The sequence below is a fragment of the Homo sapiens genome, chromosome 9, assembly GCF_000001405.40.
Source record: "Homo sapiens chromosome 9, GRCh38.p14 Primary Assembly".
Lineage (NCBI taxonomy): Eukaryota > Metazoa > Chordata > Mammalia > Primates > Hominidae > Homo > Homo sapiens.
In genome coordinates this window covers 127931691-127945782 of record NC_000009.12, presented here as the reverse complement: position 1 = coordinate 127945782, position 14092 = coordinate 127931691, and the positions used below count along the sequence as shown (strand labels likewise).

At 56.2% G+C, this 14092-nt stretch overlaps 2 protein-coding genes and 1 long non-coding RNA gene across 8 annotated transcripts in view, besides 4 other annotated features; 2 read left to right on the top strand and 1 right to left on the bottom strand.

The window, feature by feature from the left end:
- Positions 1-5201, top strand: part of EEIG1 (estrogen-induced osteoclastogenesis regulator 1) — a 40408-nt gene extending 35207 nt beyond the window's left edge. For both annotated transcript variants that reach the window (NM_001035254.3, NM_203305.3), the window contains 5 exons: positions 30-134; positions 221-416; positions 885-1006; positions 1099-1168; positions 2546-5201. In NM_001035254.3, coding sequence (NP_001030331.1) covers positions 30-134; positions 221-416; positions 885-1006; positions 1099-1168; positions 2546-2591 — 539 coding nt within the window. In that variant the 3' untranslated portion in view covers positions 2592-5201. The remainder of the gene's footprint in view (positions 1-29; positions 135-220; positions 417-884; positions 1007-1098; positions 1169-2545) is intronic.
- Positions 2644-3173: an enhancer, noted in NCBI's record as "H3K27ac-H3K4me1 hESC enhancer chr9:130704889-130705418 (GRCh37/hg19 assembly coordinates)". NCBI's record gives its function as "activates a minimal SCP1, AML or CMV promoter by ChIP-STARR-seq in primed H9 embryonic stem cells {active_cell/tissue: H9 hESC(primed)}" and the evidence as "EXISTENCE:reporter gene assay evidence [ECO:0000049][PMID:30033119]".
- On the bottom strand, positions 4831-7885 carry LOC124902280 (uncharacterized). The gene is made up of 3 exons (XR_007061801.1): positions 7570-7885; positions 5222-5376; positions 4831-5109 (listed from the first exon to the last, which is right to left on the bottom strand). It is a non-coding gene; the product is annotated as an uncharacterized LOC124902280 (long non-coding RNA).
- Positions 7666-7975: an enhancer, noted in NCBI's record as "active region_29062". NCBI's record gives its function as "activates an Ori minimal core promoter by ATAC-STARR-seq in GM12878 lymphoblastoid cells {active_cell/tissue: GM12878}" and the evidence as "EXISTENCE:reporter gene assay evidence [ECO:0000049][PMID:35858748]".
- Positions 7929-10684, top strand: DPM2 (dolichyl-phosphate mannosyltransferase subunit 2, regulatory). Of its 5 annotated transcripts, none has more exons than NR_165631.1 (4): positions 7929-7965; positions 8260-8349; positions 9005-9230; positions 10003-10684. NR_165631.1 is itself a non-coding variant. In NM_003863.4 (4 exons), exons 1-4 carry the CDS (start codon positions 7963-7965, stop codon positions 10059-10061), a joined length of 255 nt encoding a protein of 84 aa, NP_003854.1. In that variant the 5' UTR covers positions 7929-7962; the 3' UTR covers positions 10062-10684. The 5 variants fall into 5 exon arrangements, 3 of the variants coding, with proteins under 3 accessions (NP_003854.1, NP_001365366.1, NP_001365365.1); NM_003863.4 differs by having other exon boundaries at positions 9128-9230; NM_001378437.1 differs by lacking the exon at positions 8260-8349 and having other exon boundaries at positions 9128-9230.
- Positions 10399-10899: an enhancer, noted in NCBI's record as "H3K4me1 hESC enhancer chr9:130697163-130697663 (GRCh37/hg19 assembly coordinates)". NCBI's record gives its function as "activates a minimal SCP1, AML or CMV promoter by ChIP-STARR-seq in primed H9 embryonic stem cells {active_cell/tissue: H9 hESC(primed)}" and the evidence as "EXISTENCE:reporter gene assay evidence [ECO:0000049][PMID:30033119]".
- Positions 10900-11400: an enhancer, noted in NCBI's record as "H3K4me1 hESC enhancer chr9:130696662-130697162 (GRCh37/hg19 assembly coordinates)". NCBI's record gives its function as "activates a minimal SCP1, AML or CMV promoter by ChIP-STARR-seq in primed H9 embryonic stem cells {active_cell/tissue: H9 hESC(primed)}" and the evidence as "EXISTENCE:reporter gene assay evidence [ECO:0000049][PMID:30033119]".

Below are 14092 nucleotides of genomic sequence, written 5' to 3'. Positions count from 1 at the left end.
CTCACCCCCTGCCCCTTCCTGCCTTCCAGGGCTGCCAGAGGAACCCGACCAGAACCTGTCCAGCCCTGAGGAGGTGTTCCACTCTGGCCACTCCCGCAACTCCAGCTATGCCAGCCAGCAGTCCAAGATCTCCGGTGAGTGGCTGCCTGGCCCTGCCCCCGTGGCCTCCTCCTTCCTCGGGATCCCCCATTGTGATGCTCCCCTGCGTCGCCCCTGACAGGCTACAGCACAGAGCACTCGCGCTCCTCCAGCCTCTCAGACCTGACGCACCGCCGCAACACGTCCACCAGCAGCAGCGCCTCTGGGGGCCTTGGCATGACCGTGGAGGGCCCTGAGGGCAGTGAGCGGGAGCACCGGCCCCCGGAGAAGCCGCCGCGGCCACCCCGGCCCCTGCATCTGTCCGATCGCTCTTTCAGGTGAGGCCTACTGCTTGGTGCCCCCTGGAGAACAGACCTCTCCCGGTGGTGCCTTGAACCTCCGCTTCTTTACCTATAACACAGGGACCGTAAGGTCCCCACCTCAGAGGGTTGGGTGGTGACGATTCCACTAGCTGATGGCCCTGAAGGGTGCAGCCATGCCCGGCGTGCAGCAGGTTCTGTTCATGGCTGCTCTTGCGGTTTTGTGGATCAGACAAGAGCACGATCTGCTAGGTGGCCTTAGGAAGCTGACTTACCTGCTCATTGCCTGGCATCCTCGTCTATAAAATCGGCTCATGATGGCAGCTGCACCCTATTGTGCATGTGAGGTTTCAGTGAAGTACAGCACGGAGCGCACAGGGACATTCTGAGCGCCGCTGCGGCTGACTGGCATTATTGTCGTCGTTCTGTGCTTGTACCTGTTACTGCCCTGACCGTTGTGACTTGTCCCCCCACGACCTGACCCAGGCGGAAGAAGGACTCGGTGGAGAGCCACCCGACCTGGGTGGACGACACGCGGATCGATGCGGATGCCATCGTGGAGAAGATCGTGCAGAGCCAGGATTTCACAGATGGCAGCAACACCGAGGGTGAGCCGTGCTGGGCTGGTGGGGGCGAGGCCACCTGCTCCAAGGGCTGGCCCTGCCGCGCTCAGCCTCCATCCTCTCCTGTGTCCCCACAGACAGCAACCTCCGGCTGTTCGTGAGCCGCGATGGCTCTGCCACGCTGAGCGGCATCCAGCTTGCCACCAGGTAGGGCAGGCTTAGGGAGGGGTCGTCGGGGCGGCTGGGGCTTGGGGGTGAGAGCAGAGTCCCCACAGTCCACTCACCTGGCCTTGAACGCCAAATCTTGTCGCCACAGTGTGACCCTGGGCCTGTCATGTCTCTGAACCTCCCTTTCCCCATCTGTCAGGCTGTGTGGACACCACCACCTCACCTGGGAGCCTGGGGCAGTGAGGGCACGGACAGGTTCGGTGGTTTCCCACAGTTCACAAGGTCACCTCCAGCAATGCCTGGTGCAGGGCTCAGCACATGGCAGGGGCCTCACACGCATTTATTTAGAACCCTCCCTTCTACTTCCTCCCAGCTCCAGGGACTCGGGAAGAATGGTGGTGGTGATGCCTCATGGGTTTACTGAACAAATCTTTCCCTAGCACCAGCTAGGCACTAGGCCCTAAGTGAAGGCCTGGTTCAATGCAGGCTGCTGCCTACACAGCATCCACAGATGGCAGGGGTAGATGGGACCAAAGTTGCGGGAACGACAGTTTATAGAGTGCTGCGTCACAGACATTCATTTGGAGCATGTTGACTATGTGCCTGGCTCTCCATGTGCTTTGGCTAACCAAATGAATGAGCGAGTGAGCGAATGAGCTTCCCACAGGCGGGCTGCTGAGGGCAGGTGGGGAGCCCGCCTAACATCCACATCCCCAGGGAAGAGGCGTGGCCAGGCCGCTGCGCAGAGGCTACCCTCTCAAGCTGCTCTGCTGACTCCTGCTGGCCACGGCCTGGAATGGCAGCTATCACCTCCCAGTAGCCTCCTGGGCTGCTCTCGGGTGGGGGTGAGGGGGCGGTGAGCAAGAAGGAAACTGAGGGGCTGGCTTCCTTATGGGTTTGTAAACACACCCCTCCCTGGCCCCCTCTGAAAATGAGGAAGCATCTTGGGGAAAGAAACCAATCTGGTTGGGAGCGAGATCACAGCAGAGCTACATGCTGAGCCCCGAGAGTCCCCGACTCCAGGGCTGGGCCTGGGCTCGGCAGGGAAAGGAGCTGACCAGGTTTCCTGACTTCCCACTGCCCTCTTGGTCACCCTCACATCCCTCTGAGCCTCAGTTTCTTCACCTGTCAAGTGGGGCAGGATGCAGTGACTCCCTGCCGAGGTGACCGTGAGGATGGGGTGGCACAGCCAGATGTGCCCGGAAGGGCTCTGCAGGCCCCACAGACTCTGATGCTTACTATCTGTGTCACTGTGGGCAAGGGACTTACCATCGCTGGGGCACGGTTTTAGCCCCTTTGCAACACAGGGCTGGTTAACAGTACCTGCTTGTGAAACACCTCCAGAGGCCTGGTCCAGTGGAGCGCTCAGGAAATGGGGTATCGAGGGGGACATGCTGACCTGTCTCTCACCTGCAGGGTCTCTTCTGGGGTCTACGAGCCAGTTGTGATTGAAAGCCATTGAGGAGCAGGTGTCCGGGCTGGAGAAGAGTCCTGCTTTCTCTGGAGTCCAGACCTGTATCATTCCATGAGGAACTTTCCCCTTCAGATCACCTCTGCGCCACATCTCATCCATGCCTCCTCCATGCACTCCAGTCCACACTCCCCGTAGCATCATTCCATTGCCCCTCCCATCCATGCTGGGACCCTCCTGGCCCACCAAGGCCCAGGCACCACTGTGAATATTCTCCTCTGAACCACTAGAGGGCAGGCCAGGCAGGCCAGGCGGGCCCGTGCAGCTTGTGGGCAAGAAGGAGCTGGCAAGGACCGGCGCTGCTGGAGACTGACCCAGCCCTCTGGCTGAGGACATGCAGCGGCTCCTAAATGTAGAGATGCCTGTGGCTGAGGGGGCCTCTCTACCTGTGTCCCCACTCACTCCAGGAGCACTGGCTTTGGTCACGTCTTAGCAGCAGGGCCTTGCTCCGTTGTTCCCTTGCCCTGGTGGTGGGGGGGCCAGACCACCTCCGGAATCCTGCCACCTGTGACTGTCTGACTGCTTAGTGCTTCAGCTGTCCCTTCCTTGTGTCCTGGGGGACCTGCTGGCGGCCTCTTCCTGGGAGCCATGACCTCAGACCCCACCCACACTCCAGATCGAGACCCCTGCCTCCCCCCGGCAAATGTCCTCCCGCTGCCTTGCAGCCTGCACTTTGCACATGCTCACCCCCAGCACAGTCCCACTGGCCCCTCACCTCCCCTTCCCTGAGCTCCTTCCCAAGGACTCCTGGTCACTGCCTGCTGTGCAGTCAGAGGCCCAGGGTCCAGCAGCCCGGCGGGAACGGGTGCTGCCTCTTCCTCCAGTTAGCTCCAGCTCAGGTCTGAGACCCGTGCTGAGAAAGGTCTGAGCACCGACCGTGCCCTCTGCCCAGGGCTGGGTCCTGAGCAGCTGGTTTTCCTGCAGGAAGGTTGGAGCAAGCAAAGTCCTTCTCTGCCCTCAGGGTCAGCTGCCCAGACTGGGGCGGATGCCAGAGAGGCAGGTGGGCTGTGGCTGGACTGGTCCGGAGCTGGCTTCCTTACCAGAAAAGCCTCAGCCTTCCTCTGGAAGCATCCCCCGTTCTGGGCAAGGGGGAAGGGCTCCTTTAAGGGGTGTGCTTTCCCAGTGGGGAGCAGTCTGGCCCTGCCCCCTACTAAAGCCTCTGCTCTCAGCACTTTCCCCCAAGTCCTTGTAACTTGCTTGAAGGTGGGTTCTGGCTGCCAGCCAGTCCCTGGACAAACTCTCCTGCCCCTTTTAAATTTCACTCATTTTGTATAAACCCAGCAGGCTGGTGTTTACTTAGCCCTGTAGCTTTTTTCATTTTTTCTTTCCGTCTTTCTTCTTGAGTTCACGGTTCAATATTGCCTCCTCGCCCTGGTGAGGGGAGGTGCTGCTTTTCTGCCCCACCTGCCGGCTGGTTCCAGCAGCGCTGGGGCCCAGCTGGGGGGCCGGGATGGGGGCTTCTCTCTCTGGGAGGGGTGCAGGTGCCCTCCCCAGGCTGGGAGGGTTCCTTCCCTAGCTCCCCATCTGCCCCCGCTGGTGAGAGTTGGGCTTCTTGGTCTTGGAACTCCCTGGCATTGGGAACAGAGCATTTCCAGCATTTGTTGTTGTTTTACTCACCTAACCCTTAGAAAATGAATGTTAGAAGGTGCCTGCCGAGGCGGGACAGAGTGTTCGCTCGCGCTGGAGAAGGCTCTGCTCAGCCCTGAGAGTCCCTTCCTGCCCCACCGATACTGGCACTTTAAAAAGGAAGCTGACCGCACAGTGTCCAGACGAATTGGCCCCCAGAAGATGGGGAGTTCTGTCCTGCCCTTCTGTGTCTGCGTGACCTCACCCAGCCTAGGAGGGAGGTGCATTCAGGGTAGATTTGCCTCTCATTCAAAGTTCTGGGGCTTTGGGTGGAAAACAGCCAGCTTTGGCGCTGTTGGGGAGACTCCTCCAGACCAGGAACCCCAGAAGGAGACAGAGCCTGCCACATCCTCCCACGCCAGGCCCTGGGCCAGGGTGATTGGACTGAGAATTTGGCCACAACCAAATTGATGCTGGCTGGAACCAGAGGCCAGAAAGCCTGGCCTTGTCCCCATGTGGGAGCCCTGTCCTCAGCCCTCTTGTCCCCTTGAGCTCAGTGAATTCCCACCAGGTGCCCACAGCTCCTGGACTTCAAATTCTATATATTGAGAGAGTTGGAGAGTATATCAGAGATATTTTTGGAAAGGAGTTGGTCTATGCAATGTCAGTTTGGAATCTTCTTGAAAGTTTAATGTTTTTATTAGGAGATTTAAAGAAAATAAAGGTCTACAATATCTTTAGGTTTTTTTTTTTTCCTGTTTACCGCACAAACTGACCACATGGCATGTCTATCAGGATGGAGGGTGTCCATGTTCTCCTCTGTCTTTAGGGAGGTGATAAGGAGATGGGCGGAGGGGTGTTTTTTTCTTTGACTCCCCTCCTTTCTAACAGAATGTTGCCACCACTGCTTGAGTGGGCTGTGTTTGTTCCTCTGTCCCAGCTTCTGTTGTAGAAAATAACATTGTTAGGGGAACTCAGGCTAGTGTCAGCGTCTTGGTTTGGGGAGAAAAAATTAAATGTTTCGGTTTTTGTTTCTTTTGCTGTTTTGTTTTTACCTTGTTACTTTATCATATTGACTTTAGGGTCAAAGGCAACATCAGAAGAAGTCAGATATGTATAGTGACATTCCAGGGGTGGGGAAGGTGTAGGGATCCAGGGTTCTCCCGGTCTTGGCCACAGGCACAATCATCACCTTCATCGTTCCAGATTCCTGGGGAGAAAACTGAGAAGATCGTTACCTGCCAGCCTCATACGGAGCAAAAGCTCTGTCCTCAGGGCCAAGTTCTAACCACTGCTCTGTAGACCTTCTCTGCAATCAAGTGGCCTCTAAGGAGCATGCCTGAGGACAAATAACTGCGCCTCAGTTTCCTCACCTGCAGATGGGGTTATCAAATAACACGAGTGTGCAGCCTGACCTGTAGGAGGTGTGAGTGTGTTCCCAAACTAAAGCCCCAGGCTGCCATCATTTACAGGCTTGGCTTGCCCCGGGCCCCTCACCCCCGTTTCTGACCATCCCAAGTCTCTCTGGGACAGGCAAGTCACTCTGGTTCTTTAATAAGCTTGGAGGTGTTGGGAAGCTTCAGTGGTACTGGCCAGGCCAGGAGGAATCAGGCCACCAGGGCTCCATCTCTATCCTGGGATAGCATTCACCCCACTCCTCCTCAGGGCTGACCCCGACTCATGGCCCCTTTAAACCCTGAAGGCCGATTCTGCCCCTTCCTCTGTTATATGCACAACTGAGGAAGGAGGTAAAAGTGGGCTCCTAGGTGAGCCCAAAGTCTCCTGAGAGATAAGGGAAAAGAATTGGACTGTAGGTTTAAAAAAGTTGCTCTTGGCCGGGCACAGTGGCTCACGCCTATAATCCCAGCACTTTGGGAGGCTGAGGCAGGAGGCAGATCACCTGAAGTCACCCTGACCAACATGGAGAAACCCTATCTCTACTAAAAATAGAAAAATTAGCTGGGCGTGGTGGTGAGTGCCTGTAATCGCAGCTACTCAGGAGGCTGAGGTAGGAGAATCGCTTGAACCCAGGAGGTGGAGGTTGCAATGAGCCAAAATCGCGCCATTGCACTCCAGCCTGAGTGACAGAGCGAGACTCCGTCTCAAAAAAAAAAAAAAAAAAAAAAGTTGCTCTTGTCAGCTTTGGGAGGGCAGACTCCATAGTTGGAGATGGGCTTCCAACCAACCAAGGAGATAAATGCCAGAGGGAGCGAACCATGCCAGGCTCAAAGCACATCTCTCCCCAAACTCCCCAGGTGGGGACAGCAGGCCAAAGGCCTCCACATAACCCCTCAGGGAGGCCTGGAGTCCAGATGCTGTACTCCAGTATCTAAACAATCACTCAATCTTAAAGCTGACAGGTTCAAAGCTCTTACTTTGGGCCGAGCGCAGTGGCTTACGCCTGTAATCCAGGCACTTTCGGAGGCTGAGGTGGGTGGATCACCTGAGGTCAGGAGTTTGAGACCAACCTAGCCAACATGGTGAAAACCCATCTCTACTAAAAATACAAAAATTAGCTGGGCGTGTTGACACGTGCCTGTAATCCCAGCTACTCGGTAGGCTGAGGCAGAAGAATCGCTTGAACCCAGGAGGCAGAGGTTGCAGTGAGCTGAGATCATGCCACTGCACTCCAGCCTGGGTGACAGAGTGAGACTCCCGTCTTGGGAAAAAAAAAAAAAAACAAAAAAACCTCTTTCTTTGGGCCAAGCCTCCACTGAGTGCCAGGGATACAGCAGCAACCTCAGACCCTACCCTCGGGGCTGACAGGGCTGGATCAACAATTGCATCAGTGAATTAAAAGGCACAGGAGGCTGGGCACCGTGGCTCACGCCTGTAAACTTTTGGAGGCCGAGTTGGGAGGATCGCTTGAGCCCAGGAGTTCGACACCAGCCTGGATAACATAGAACTCCGTCTCAAAAACAAACAAACAAACAAAAAAAACGTTCCCGACTGGCTTCCCTGAGGAACGTGGCGTCCCAGTGAGACCGGATGGGTGAGGAGCAGCCGGCCTGTGAGTGGTGGGGGACCGCGTTCCTATCTCGGAGCTGAAGAAGCGTGGAAGATGATCTGGCCCAACATCTCTTTGTTCTCAGAGGAAGGGCCTTCCAAGACCGGGGAGGGGCCTGTGCGTGGGTCCCGGTCCGAAACGTGTCTGGGCTGCTGCGAGAGACAGTCGGTGAAGGAAGGGAGGGGACATCCGAAGGGTGGCCCGGGAGGCCGGGCGATGGTGAGGAGGGCGCCTCCTCTCCACCAAATCCTCCCCATCCATGCGGGCTAGGGACAGACCCTCCCCCGCCCACCCTAGGCTGGAAAGTGAACGTTCTCTGCACCTCTCCCACCTACAGACTAAGTAGGGCACCCGGTTTCCGTGTCGGCTTCACCACTGACTCGGAATGGGATCTACCTTTCTCTGAGCCTCACTTTTCCCATCTGAAAAATGGAACTTCCGATCCCGCACTCCCATCCCACTCTGGCCCCGGGACTCTGGGATACTTAGAGATTGGCTTTTGGTGGGGCGGCGACAGGACTGTGGCCATGAAGGCCAGGGAGTCTGGGTCCCCAACTCGGTCCCATTCCCTAGAGAGATTCGGGCAGCAACCGGCCCCACAATGCTCTTGAGAACTACACTTCGCCGATATGCAAAGAAGAGGAGGCGGTTCCTGCTCGTCTCCGACGAGGTGGGCCCGAGCAGGCCTGGGGACTACGACTCCCGGCGTGCTCCGCAGTCCAAAGCCGGAAGAGCGTGGACCCGGAACCGGATGTGGCTTGCGGCTCGGGTGGCTGAGCGCGCGGGGAAATGGTGAGATTGGCACCGTGTGCCGGAGATAGGGGCGTCTGGGGGTGGGGTCCCGGGTCTGCTCAGGAGCTGGGGCATGGGCACTTGGAACGGGGATTGCTCTCCCGCCCCCACTATTGTACGGACGACAACGCGGAGGCCTAGCATTCTCTCCCAGCCTAGAAACTGATCCCTAGTCAGCCCTCTACCATCTGTTGAATGGGAAGCTTAGACCGTGATCGGGCCGCGACGCCCCGCTTCCATTAGTGCGCCGAAATAGAGGGTCACTTCGTCAGCTGAGACCTCCCTTTTCTCCAGGCCACGGGGACAGACCAGGTGGTGGGACTCGGCCTCGTCGCCGTTAGCCTGATCATCTTCACCTACTACACCGCCTGGGTGATTCTCTTGGTATGTCATTCTCCCCGTCCGCTGCTCACCTTCCCCGAGCCCTGGCACCGCCAGAGCAACTACTATATAGGCTCTAGGCACGGCGCTGGCTTCATTGCCTGCCTCATCTCTTGAACTCTCCAGAACAACTCTATGAGGAAGATGCCAGTGGTACCGCATTTTATAGATGAGATAGCTGAGGCTAGGGGAGAAGGATCTGGCCCAAGATTGCATCCTTAGCCGCTACACTTATAACTCTGTTTCCGGCTTGCTTTGACTTTTGGGGGAGTTCTGTTCCTTCTGGGTTAGCCTGCTGACTCTTAGGCATGGCAAACGCCAGTGATATTTGTGAAGGCCTTTAGGATATTTTTTTCTTGTGGGAAAACTTGTTGGTTATTGCTTAAGAAGTGCAGTGTGTCTGGAAGTGCAGAACTTGGTATCCTTTAGAGAAAAAATATTAGTGAAGAAGCCCTGGAGGCCCAGGTTGGGAGTCAGTCGAGGATTCCTCAAGTACCATTTGCTAGGCTGTGAGGTGCCTTAGGGCAGGTCTCTTGTGCCCTGTTCTCTTGTCCCCACCACCAACCTATAGCAGGCACCAAAGCAAGTGCCCGGTAAATACCAATAAGAAATTAAGGAAAGAAACAAACCACGACACCCAAATGCCGTAATCTTAAAGAAAAGCAAATGCAGTCCCAGTCCTCTGAATGGGTCAGCCCCTTAGATGGAGGAGGTGGGACGTTTGGGCTTGGGGGCTCGGCAAGGCAAGCAAGACACACCAGAGCTCTTCCCTCGATGCCAGCCATTCATCGACAGTCAGCATGTCATCCACAAGTATTTCCTGCCCCGAGCCTATGCTGTCGCCATCCCACTGGCTGCAGGCCTCCTGCTGCTCCTGTTTGTGGGTAAGTCATCACCTCCTCCCCTTGACCCTGGGCAGGGTTTCGGGAAGACCCCACCTCTGAACATGCTTCCACACTTTGGCGGTGCTGGAAGCTGCTTGCCCCGAACTCACCCGTGGGGTTTTCCTGTTCATCCTTCGAGGCTGCCAGTCAGTAACCTCTGGGTTTCCTGGTGCCCCAGGCTTTTTGGACTCCAATGACCTGTCTACCTCTTTCCTGCCCCAACCCCATCATCACTCTGCTCACACCTCAGTCACCCTCTTGTCACCCTGGCTTCTAATTCCTGCACCTCTCTCTCTCATGGCTTCCTAGGGATGGGGACTGTGTCTCCATCATTACTGCACATCTAGAACAGGCTGTGGCACTGAGGCTGTGCTCAGAAAGTCATTTGGATGAGTCAGTCAACAGCCGGGTGCCTGGATGATGGGTGGATGGATGGGTGGGTGGGTGAGGTGTAGGAGGAGGTGGGTAGGTATGTAGGTGGACAGACAAGTGGTTGACCGGGTGATCGATAGATGGGTGGATCTTGTTCCCCTTGGAATCTGAAACACTAAATGCAGCATCTTGCTTGAGGCAGGCACTCAGTTGGTGTTTGTTGAGTGAATGTGAGTAGACATATGCCTTGACGAATGACTAGGGAGATAAGCAGGTTCCCTGGAGGATGGTTGGGTAGGTTCACAGCCCTGTGTGTGGGTGGCTCTGCTGTGTCATGCCCTGGCCTCCCAGCAGCCCTGAGCTTAGATCTTATGTGGCCTTTCTGGTCTGTGTATCCCAGGACTGTTCATCTCCTATGTGATGCTGAAGACCAAGAGAGTGACCAAGAAGGCTCAGTGAAGGTCCCGCAGGGATGAGGCTGCCAGCCCCTTCTCTGCTTCCCCTCCAGCACAGGGACCAAGTGGGGGAGCCTGCAGAACCTGTCCAGGCACAGTGGCTCCTCAAGCCTGCCTGTCCTGCAGAGTCCCCATGGCATGGAGCTTACACCTGACTGACTGGAGCCCCCTCCCCGACTCCCACTTCCAGAAGCTAGGAGGGAGGGATACCTGGAAGACTCCGGTCACCTCCTTCTTGCTCAGGGCCTAAAAGATGCTGGTCCTCCCAACCTCACTCTCAGACTCCCTGCCACCTTTTCCCCTGGGTTCTGCCGTCTTGCCTCACTTCCCCTCCTGTCACATGCTGACGTTGGACTTAGCAGGTTCTAAGGCCACATGTGTGACCTCTCTGACTTCTCTTCCTCCACCAAGGCAGCTTTCCTTACCCTGACACAGCCCCAGACCCCACAAAGCCTTCTGGACCTGGAAAGCCTGGGGAAGGACTGACAGACCCCAGGACCAGCCCTGGGGCTCAGGGCAGCCACCCCGGGCCGCTGACCGACTGACCTCTCCTCACGGAGGCCCAGCCCCAAAGCCCCAGGGCTGGCCCGTTTGGGACAGCTGACCAATAAACACTGATGGTGTGTTTGTCTCTGTGCCGTGTTTACCCAGGGTCGGGGCTGGAGCGGGCTGGGAGCGGTCTTGGGTCAGGAGATCCTGTACAGTAGGGGTGACTCGGGGGCCTTCTGCCCTGACCCTGTGCGCTGGGGATAAAGCAGGGACTGGGACAGATGTGCTTCCTACCCAATGGAGCTCACAGCTGGGAGTCATTGGAGGCCCTGGCACCCCTCTGCCATGCCTCCCCTGTGCCAGCTTGGCCGGGTTGGATTTATTACTTTAGGGACCCTTGGGCCACTCCCCTAAAAACCCCACAGCCCAACTTAACGTGGCCCTGAGCAGTGAAGGCTGCTCTGTGTTCAGGTTGGCTGGACTGGCCCAGCCCCTAGCCTTCCAGCAGTCCCACCGTGCCTGGGCAGCTGGCTCTCCCATTTTCCACGGCACCTAGTGTAAACCCCCATTCCTCAAACCCGGTTCCCTCACTTTTCTTCCAGTTGGTGGAGGTATCTTCCTCATCACAGAGGAAAAAGGCCAACTGCAGACACCTGCCCTCTCCCCACCTGCTCCATGCTCTGTCCTCCAGTCCAGGCAGAACTGCCCACTTGGGCTTTGGATCCTAAACCCCCAACTACTGTAGTGGGAGCCTGAGGTCACAGTTGGCGCCCCCTGTTGTGAGAAAGATCTCCATGGGATCCTCTCATTGTTCCCTGAGTGTGCTCTGGGATCCCACTTACAGGCCCTCCGTCAATCCAGTAGTTCCCACTAAGTATCTCCCTCTGTCCATTTCACCACCAAGCTTCCCCAAAGGGGGTCCGCATCTGTCTCCTGCATTTCTTCACCTCCTGCCGCACTCAGCATCTGTCCCCATCTCTCCAGGCAGGCTGCAGCCACTGAGGCCACCAGCGGTGTCCACTCTTTATTTTTTTTTTTTTTAATTTTTCTTTGTGACAAAGTTTTGCTCTTGTTGCCCAGGCTGGAGTGCAATGGTGTGATCTCAGCTCACTGCAACCTCCACCTCCTGAGTTCAAGTGATTCTCCTGCCTCAGCCTCCCAAGTAGCTGGGATTACAGGCATGTGCCACCACACCCAGCTAATTTTGTATTTTTAGTAGAGACGGGGTTTCTCCATGTTGGTCAGGCTGGTCTTGAACTCTCGACCTCAGGCTATCTGCCTGCCTCGGCCCCCCAAAGTGCTGGGATTACAGGCATGAGCCACCGTGCCCAGTTGATGTCCACTCTTTAAATCCAAAGGATGTTTGCTTGACTCTCAGCTGCATTTGGCCTGTGACATCCCCTGATCCACTGTCAGCCGCTTTCTTGATGTCTGTGATGACCATTCTGTTTGTTTGTTTGTGGCAGAGTTTCGCTCTGTTGCCCAGGCTGGAGTGCGGTGGTGCGATCTTGGCTCACTGCAACCTCTGCCTCCTGGGTTCAAGTGATCCTCCTGCTTCAGTCTCCCGAGTAGCTGGGATTACAGGCACCTGCCACCACGCCCAGCTAATTTTTTGTATTTTTAGTAGAGATGGGGTTTTGCCATGTTGGCCAGGCTGGTCTCAAACTCCTGACCTCAGGTGATCTGCCTGCCTCAGCCTCCCAAAGTGCTGGAATTACAGGCATGAGCCACCAAGCCCGGCTGTGATGATCATTCTGCTATTTGATGTCTCACTCATGCCGTCTTCTGCCATGTGATGCTGGGCTCCTCAGGGTTGTGTCACAAGCCGTCTCACCCTTGCCAGGCTCACCTCTGGCCCGATGCACTGCACATGGCCCAGCTGCCCACCTGACATCCTCATCGGATGCCATGGTGGGAAACTCAAATGCATCCTCTCATGAGCTGAATTCTCAGACTTCTCCCAAATCTGGCTGTTCCCCTCATGCCCTTCCCCCTCTAGTGACTGGTGTACCATGTCCCTAACCTGGCTTTCTTCCTTATCCCCCCATCCACAGGACCCTGAGCTTTATCAGTTCTCCCTCCCCTTTTCTCCTGGCCTCTAGCCACCTTCCTGATGCAAAGCCACCATCCTCTGCCCTAAGTCACAGATGGCTTCCTCACTGCTTCTCCTGCCCACTCTGGCCCCACCAGTCCAACTATGCATAACAACCAGTGCCCTTCAAAAATGCACACCTTGACCAGGCACGGTGGCTCACGCCTGTAATCCCAGCACTTTGGGAGGCCAAGGTGGGCAGATCACTTGAGGTCAGGAGTTGGAGACCAGCCTGGCCAACTTGGTGAAACCCCGTCTCTACTAAAAATACAAAAATGGGGCCGGGCGCGGTGGCTCACGCCTGTAATCCCAGCACTTTGGGAGGCTGAGGCAGGCGGATCACAAGGTCAGGAGCTCGAGACCATCCTGGCTAACACGGTGAAACTCCGTCTCTACTAAAAAAAAATACAAAAAATTAGCCGGGCGTGGTGGCAGGCGCCTGTAGTCCCAGCTACTTGGGAGGCTGAGTCAGGAGAATGGCATGAACCCGGGAGGTGGAGCTTGCAGTGAGCTGAGATGGTGCCACTGCACTCCAGCCTGGGCGACAGAGCGAGACTCCGTCTCGAAAAAAAAAAAAAATACAAAAATGGCTGGGCGCGGTGGCTCATGCCTGTAATCCCAGCACTTTGGGAGGCTGAGGTGGGCGGATCACAAGGTCAGGAGATCAAGACCATCCTGGCCAACATGGTGAAACCCCCGCTCTACTAAAAATACAAAAATTAGCTGGATGTGGTGGCGAATGCCTGTAATCCTAGCTACTCGGGAAGCTGAGGCAGGAGAATTACTTGAACCGGGGAGTCAGAGGTTGAACTGAGCTGGGATCATGCCACTGCACTCCAGCCTGGCGACAGAGAGAGACTGTCTCAAAAAAAAAAAAAAAAAAAAAAAAAAGCCCAGCATGGTAGCACGCGGCTGTAGCCCCAGCTACTCAGGAGGCTGAGGCAGAGGAATCTCTTGAACCTAGGAGGCGGAGGTTGCAGTTAGCTAAGACCGCGCTACTGCACTCCAGCCTGGGCGACAGAGCAAGACTCTGTCTCAGAAAAAAAGAAAAAAAAAATTAGCTGGGCATGGTGACGCCTGCCTATAATCCCAGCTACTTGGGAGGCTGAGGCATGAGAATCACTTGAACCCAGAGGCAGAGGTTGCAGTGAGCCGAGATTGCGCCATTGCACTCCAGCGTGGGCCACAGAGGGAGATTCTGTCTTAAAACAAACAAACAAAACCCTCGAACCTTGGTGCCTCACACACACACCCATACTCACAGTACCTCTCTGGGTCCCCACAGGGCCCTGCCTCTCAGCCTGCTTTCCCCTCTTCACTCCAGCCACTCTGGCCTTTCACTTCCTGGACTCACCAAGGCCCTTTGCACGTCCTACTCGCTTGGTCCCATAGACACTCATCCGGCACAGGCTTGTGCCAGGCACTCAGCCAGGAGGCAGGAATGACATGGCCCC